Source organism: Homo sapiens, chromosome 12 (assembly GCF_000001405.40).
Source record: "Homo sapiens chromosome 12, GRCh38.p14 Primary Assembly".
Classification (NCBI taxonomy): domain Eukaryota; kingdom Metazoa; phylum Chordata; class Mammalia; order Primates; family Hominidae; genus Homo; species Homo sapiens.
In genome coordinates this window covers 83,795,296-83,802,603 of record NC_000012.12, presented here as the reverse complement: position 1 = coordinate 83,802,603, position 7,308 = coordinate 83,795,296, and the positions used below count along the sequence as shown (strand labels likewise).

Here is a 7,308-nt window from a genome sequence, read left to right as displayed (position 1 = left end):
AATGGTAATAAAATTATTTTTATAATACTCTGAGTTCAAATAAAATGTCAACTAAAAGATAAAAATGCATGTAATTTTATATCTAAGATACACAAGTTCGACTATTTATCACAACTGCAAGGACTTTTTATCAGATAATTTAGAAAGAATAAAATTTTATTGCACAAATATTATTGCAGTATGATTATTTCACTTTACAACCTATTTTTTGAAATTTCAGATATCTCCTGTGGATTCTGGAATATTCTTAAAATTTATAGTGCATCAAAAACATTAATCAATTCAAGGCTGTTGGGTGCTGGTTTTGTTTTGCTTTTGCTTTTGTGTGAACATAGCAGAGCACTTGCTTCTGCTTATATGACTACTTTAACTTAATAAACACCATCTGGAGCAGTAGGAACCTGAGCATTTGCATACATCTGGGCACAAATAACATGTTGCTACAAAAATGATTAATAATAGTGTTGAACAGGCTACCATTAGCTATATTTACATCTTGGTGCCAATGGGAAAGGAGAAAATGAATATGATTCCTATCTTGCCTTAATTTGAAAAGGCTGTTAAGCAATGTTGTAACCTGTGTGAGCTGTATTTCTGAAAAGTTTAATGCAGAAAATGGATGCTTTCTGTCTTTCATTCTCTGTGGTAGAGGGTACATAACCACACTAGGTGATTAATAAAAATAACTGCTTTGAATCCAGTTTAATGTATATATTTTTTATTAAAAAATACTTTTTTGTGGTGAAAGGAAGCCGCATGTTCCCATTAAGATCTATACAGCCTTGAGACTACATTCAATCTCAAGTAGGCTTTTACAAATAAAATTGTATATTGTTTTGTGTAATTCTATGTAAGCCTAAGCAAAGTGTGGATTCTCTGCTTTACATCATTCATTCACACCAGTGTGTTCGGAAGAAAACTTGATTCCACACATTCAACAAAGTAGAGAAATAATAAGATGATTCTTTTTAAAGTACTACAGGTAGCATTTTAAAGGGCGATTTAAAACATTCTTATTCACCAACTTTTTTTCTAAAGAGAACAATTAAAATCCAAACAACTATTTTTTTTTCCCTTACCAACTGTGAGGTCTCAAAAATATATTTTTCCTTTTCCTCTCCTTCTCTCCCTTCTTCCCTCTAACTAGACACATCCACAAATAAAACCTCAAGTTGCATAACTTTAGTGTAAATAATGATATATAAATAAGGAAACAATTTTGAATATTCTTATCACTGAGTTTAAGAAAAAATATATACACGATAGCTTTGATCGAATTGATTTCTATAAAATACTACATATTTTTCCCTATCCATATTTTTGTTAGGAAAATTAGAAGGAATAGCCTTTAGGGAGGGCGTGTTTTACATAAATACTGTTGTGTTTTACATATACTACCAGTACGTCTCACATTTTAATATACACACAAACCACCAGGGGATCTTGCAAAAATGCAGATTCTGATTCAGTAGACCTCAAGGGAGCTCCTTGCTAACAAGCTTCCAGTGTTTCAGATGCTGTGATGGAAGGACTCCATGCTGAGTATTGACTAATTTCAAGTACAGATAAGTTAAGCAATTTCTTAGGGAAAAAAAAATATATAAAAATAGCAAGCCGGCTGGGCGCGGTGGCTCACACCTGTAATCTCGGGACTTTGGGAGGCCGAGGGGGGTGGATCACGAGGTCATGAGATCGAGACCATCCTGGCTAACACAGTGAAACCCCGTATCTACTAAAAATACAAAAAAAATTAGCCGGGCGTGGTGGCGGGTGCCTGTAGTCCCAGCTACTCGAGAGGCTGAGGCAGGAGAATGGCGTGAAACTGGGAGGCGGAGCTGGCTGTGAGCCGAGATTGCGCCACTGCACTCCACAGCCTGGGCGACAGAGCAAGACTCCGTCTCAAAAAAAAAAAAAAAAAAAAAAAATAGCAAGCCATGTAATGCATATGTACATTCACAGAGTTGATCTCCAGGCTCCACATAATTCATTCCAACCCTATATTGTCTGTCGGTTAATTAAGGCTAAGTACTGGAATATTTCCACGCATGGGTAAGGCAAAAAAGAGACGGGGAGCCTGGAATAGAGGAACAAGGTGGGAGAAGGGAATGGGGAAATAGGGAGGAGGAGGAAATTAGGGGAACAGGGAAGGCAAAGCAAAGAACCAAGTTCCTGAAAAAACATGTGTTAATTATTTCCATTCCACTTTATAAAGCCAAAGTCTATAGAACAATCACCTGATACTACATGCAGAGATATTTGTTTGATAATATCTCAAAGACAGTGATTAGCAAACTGAATTTGTCACTCTGAATTAGGCCTGTCCTTCTGTTCTCCGAAAGAGATTATTTGACTATCAGTCGTGGACAGTTTTGGTTTTACTGGAGCTCATGAAACACCTGGAATACAAACATCACATTGAGGAGAAAGTTCAAAGTCTATGGTAAAGTTGGCTCCCCACCTTCTTTGTTAAATTATTTTGGACATAACACTTGTCTTCTTACTGTTTTGTACTATAATCACTCATGTCACATACCCAATTTGCTTTTTAAAGTTGATATTATATCTAGACATTAAATGTCTGTGAAAGGTGAAACAAAAGATTGTAGTAATATAGAGTTACTAGAATTAAAATTTTCATGTATTCAACAATCACTGAGTGCTTACTATGTTCCACGTACTATTATAACTATATGCTGCTAGGTACACAGTGGTGAAAGAAAAAACAAAGACCGTTGTCTAGTGGTGCCTACGTTATAGTAAGAGAACAAACAACTAGCAAGTATAAAAAGAAGTCAGGTAATGCATGCTAGGAAGAAAAATTAAATAAAGCTAAAAGGCTAATAAATAGTAAGGGAGAGGATACCATTTTAAACGGAGTGGTCAGGGAAGGCTCTTCTGAAAAGGGGCATTGAGCAGGGCCTCAGTGCAGTGAAAGAGGAAGCCATGAAAATATCTGGAGAGAAAGCATTCTGGACCTAAAGATGCAAGTGGAAGGCACCATCACAGAAAAGAGCTTACTGTTCCTGAAGAACATCAAGTTGGTTAGTATGGCTGGGGAGGAGTGAAAGAAGGCCAAGAGATGTAGAAAATATGGTAATAGAAGGGCTACAATAAAGACAGGAGTGACATGAAATGTCTCAGGTTCTGCTTTGGGAGAAATCCACTAAAACAGCATACTTTGAAGGGCTTTTATTCTAACCGTTTACAGCAGCATGGGAGTGAAAGCAGAATAAGCAGGAATGTAAATTTAATCAGACAGGGTTTTTTTAATTTATAAGAAATATTTTTATATACAAGTAGTACATACATATAAATAAATATATGTACATGTTATATATATATAAGCAGTTTATATAACTTTTCTCTGGAGAAATGCCAAAGAAAGTAGTATAATTTTTTACCCAAATGCAAATTTTGATTTAGAAAATTATACATTTATTTATTCACTTAAATAGAAGTCACTGAGCATTTTTCACATGCTAGGAATAGATTTGGGTGGTAGGAATACAGGAATAAACAAAAAAACAAAAATATCTTCCTTCATATACATTTATATTTTAACTAACATATGATGTAGCTAAATTATACACACAGTGTTTAAATTTTACCTCCTCTGTCCTGTGACTATGGTAGGCACAAAAATGAGTGAAAGTGGTAAAGATGGAAGAGAAAGGAGAATGCTTAAAGAAATCCACAAATAATGTGGATAAACGAGATTTTTTTAAATCCTAGATTTATCTTTACAACGTTTAAATCTCCTAGACATTCAATTTTGATATTTTTAGTTTTGAACAATTTATTTGTCATAAAAAGTCCACTAGAAGCCTATATTGTGAAAGCCCCCTTTTTAAAATTATGTTGAATTCTCAATGTTTGACCATGTGCAAAAACAAAAATAAAACATAATGTCAAATATGTTCCTCAGAGTGATGACTGTATTTTTTATGACAAACAATTATTTAAAATCATTATGCAGTCTTTCCTTGTAGTTGGTAAAATTTATGAAAACATGGAAGGATGAATTAGTGATCCCATCATTGTTGAAAGAGTTGAGGACAACTAGATTATTAAAACTGCAAATCTGTGAAAACAGCCAGTGATAATAGTAGAAAGAATTTACTGTGGTCAAGGTTAAAGTCTAAAGGGTGGTCACCCTTTCGGAAGTTGTCCTTATGAGCCACACTATATATTATAATTTTACCACTATACAAAAAAAAAGGTTATTCAATGGACACAGTGGCATCTAAATTTAGAATTCTAAAATACTCCATGTAATTCACTGGAAATATAATCATAAATTATTTTTCTAAAGTTTTTTAATATTGTGAAAAGTATGAACTTAGAACAAAAACCTTATTAAATAATGCTTGCATATGTTGTTTTTCTGATTTTCTTTTTAAGTGAACATGGATCTCTGGCATTATGTTCATCAAAGAATATTTACAAATCTTTAAAACATTTGAAAACACCAATGGCGATTTAGTTCTTTGTTCTTGTTATAGATAATGTTTTGGCAATCAAATATCACATTATATGTAACATCTATTTATTATTGTTTTTGATGTATTACTAAAAATATAGTTTCAGAAGAATTCCACAGTCTATAAATATTTATGACCAATGAAGAAATTCTTGTTAGGTTAAAGCAAGCCATGCTAAGCAGCCACTGTATTTTAATAATGCAGTGAATACATGTAACAATTTTGAGAAGCAGATGCCTTCTATCTATATGAAAATTGCTTATTGCAATATGCCCAATTTTTTAGGATCATATAGGAAAATGAATTTTAAAGTGTCAAAGAGATACCACAATTTTCTTTCTGTGGCTTTATTCACTCTTTCAAGTACTTGCTTTCTTCTAAAACCAAACCTAACAAATGTTAGTTTAACACAATCTCAATAGAAGAAATAAGTGCAAATGGAACTATATAGGAAGACAGGCTACTCTATGCAAGTAGGGATATATATCTCTACAAGTTTTCAAGCAAAAGTTTATCTGTCAATTATGCCACAGAAGAGATCCCTGAAAAGTGGGAGAAGGGAAGAAATGACATAGGGATAGAGTGACAATTTCTCATTTTGACTGAGAAAAGCGAAAGAGAGTGAACAGGAACAAAATTAATGATTATCATGCGCAATGATTGTAAACCTGGACAATTTCAGGGAAAAAAATATGGTCACCCAAACTCTGAAATTTCTTTCAATCCTATGATTTAGAGATCAAGATATGCTGATACATAGCAATATTATTTTCAGAATATCCTAAATCACTTTTATGGAGACTAGCGTGAGTCCTTTCTCTAATAAAAAGATAAGTCATGACTCTGGCAGCAAACACTTACATCCCTTACATCCAAAGACCAACTCTGCACCTCTGTCTTTGATAGTATTACATGAGACTGAAAAGCTGACACTGGAAAATAAAATAATTAAATTATAAACATAACAGAGTTGATAAAATTAAAATGAACCTAACTGCAAATGCCATATCACAAAATTTCAAAGCATATCAATAATTACATTATCAAATTAGCATAGCTGTAGATGACCCTCCTAAAGTTGTAGGAAAAATCAAATCCGTGTAACTAGGAAACAAATATAATTTCAATGTGGTAAACAATAGAGCAGCTAAGGAAATAGGAAAAAAATGCTAAAAATCAGAAGGTCCTAATTACTCAAGATAAATTACTGTTTTGTTTTGTAAGCTAGAAAGAGAGCTGCAGGCTGTCCAATTTCTTGATTCATTGGCCTCAGGAATTAATTCTGCAATTGTTTTCATCACTTGGTAAGGGGTAAACTTGTGAAGCAGAGATTCCCTTAGTCAGTCCCAGAGCTGCGTGGCATTTAAGGAAACACTCAACAGGAATGCACACTTTTATTGAAGCGTCTCTAAAATACCTGAGGGCAGAGCAGAGGCAAAGATGAAAGGAGATCAAAAAGTGACTTGGGAAAAAAGGAATTTCTTTTATACAGCTCTCTCTCTTTTATTTTAATTATAAAAGGACAGGATCAGAAATCAAGGCCTTTGTTTTGTAGTTTTTTAGATCTGAGTAGTCGGCAAGAGAAAGGCTTAACCTTTTTATTCTTAGATGCTCTAAATTTAAACCATTTCAAGATCTTCCGCTGCTTTGAGACTTGTTTGTTTTGTTTCTGTAAAATAATGTAGCAATAAATGTGATAATAGTACCAAAAAGAAAAAAAAACAGTCAAACAATAATTTCTTTTCAAATAATCATTGAATCTCCAATACTTAAAAATTATCACATGCATTTGCAGCAACTTATAGTGGCTATAGAAATTACTGGGAATCTTTCTATGTAAGTTCCATAGTCATAATCATTGTAATAGACTCAACTTCAATGGATTAATTACTTTTAAAAGGCTTGTATAAACCAACCGACCCAGTTGTTTTACTCCTATGTATTTTTAATGAGCAGAGAAGAAGTATATATCCCAAATTTCCTGTTCAATAAATTCTAGTTTTTCATAAACTCTCAATTTTAATTTTACAACTTGGACGTTTCTCCTGGCCACTTGATTTCCTGGAATCTTTACCTGTAGCTGAGGACATTATACTTTTGCTCACAAAGCCAACTGCGAACGTCCACAGTGTCTTTTCCAGAGCAATGGTTACAGAATTCACTAATGATACTCCTTTACCTCCAGAGTAATCAACACTTCTGCCATGACATTACTCATATTTCAGTGGTTTCACTAATCTAATGCCAATAATTTGGTCTTTCTCTCTTGGAGAAGGTGAGGCTACTTACCATTCAACATTTTTGTCTGGGCTGAGAGTAAAATTAAATAAATGTCATTGTCAGATGCATATCTCAATTATCTTCAACAAAGTAATGTGTTCAGTGTCCTCCTGAAGATTATAATCCAGTAGGGTAAAAGACATTAAATAATTACATAAAGAATTACATAAATATATAATATGTGACTGAATAAAAAGTAAACAATTATTGTATAAAGCAAAATATGAGTTTCCTGAGGAAGTGATATTTTAACAGCAAATTAGAAGATAAGTATATACTAGCCAAAAGAAGAGAAAAATACAGAGAAGTTGAGCAAAGTTTCCCGGTTAGGAGGAGGTAGACAGTGAGTTCAATAAATATACCAAAGTTCAAGGTGGCAATTTGTACGTTTATGGTTATTCATATACCATTACTATCTCATTACATTTTACAAATGCTGATATATATATTTAAAGAAAAATTTTTATGTTTTAATACATTAACTGCACATTTTGTTTTTGCTTTTTGAACAAGTGTGCCACATATTTTGCACTGTACTTTGTAAATT

At 33.3% G+C, this 7,308-nt stretch overlaps 1 annotated feature.

Annotated features, from left to right (window-relative positions):
* Window positions 5,556-6,755: an enhancer, noted in NCBI's record as "CDK7 strongly-dependent group 2 enhancer chr12:84189628-84190827 (GRCh37/hg19 assembly coordinates)". NCBI's record gives its function as "activates an origin of replication core promoter dependent on BRD2, BRD4, P300/CBP, MED14 and CDK7 cofactors, with strong dependence on CDK7, by STARR-seq in HCT116 cells {active_cell/tissue: HCT116}" and the evidence as "EXISTENCE:reporter gene assay evidence [ECO:0000049][PMID:35650434]".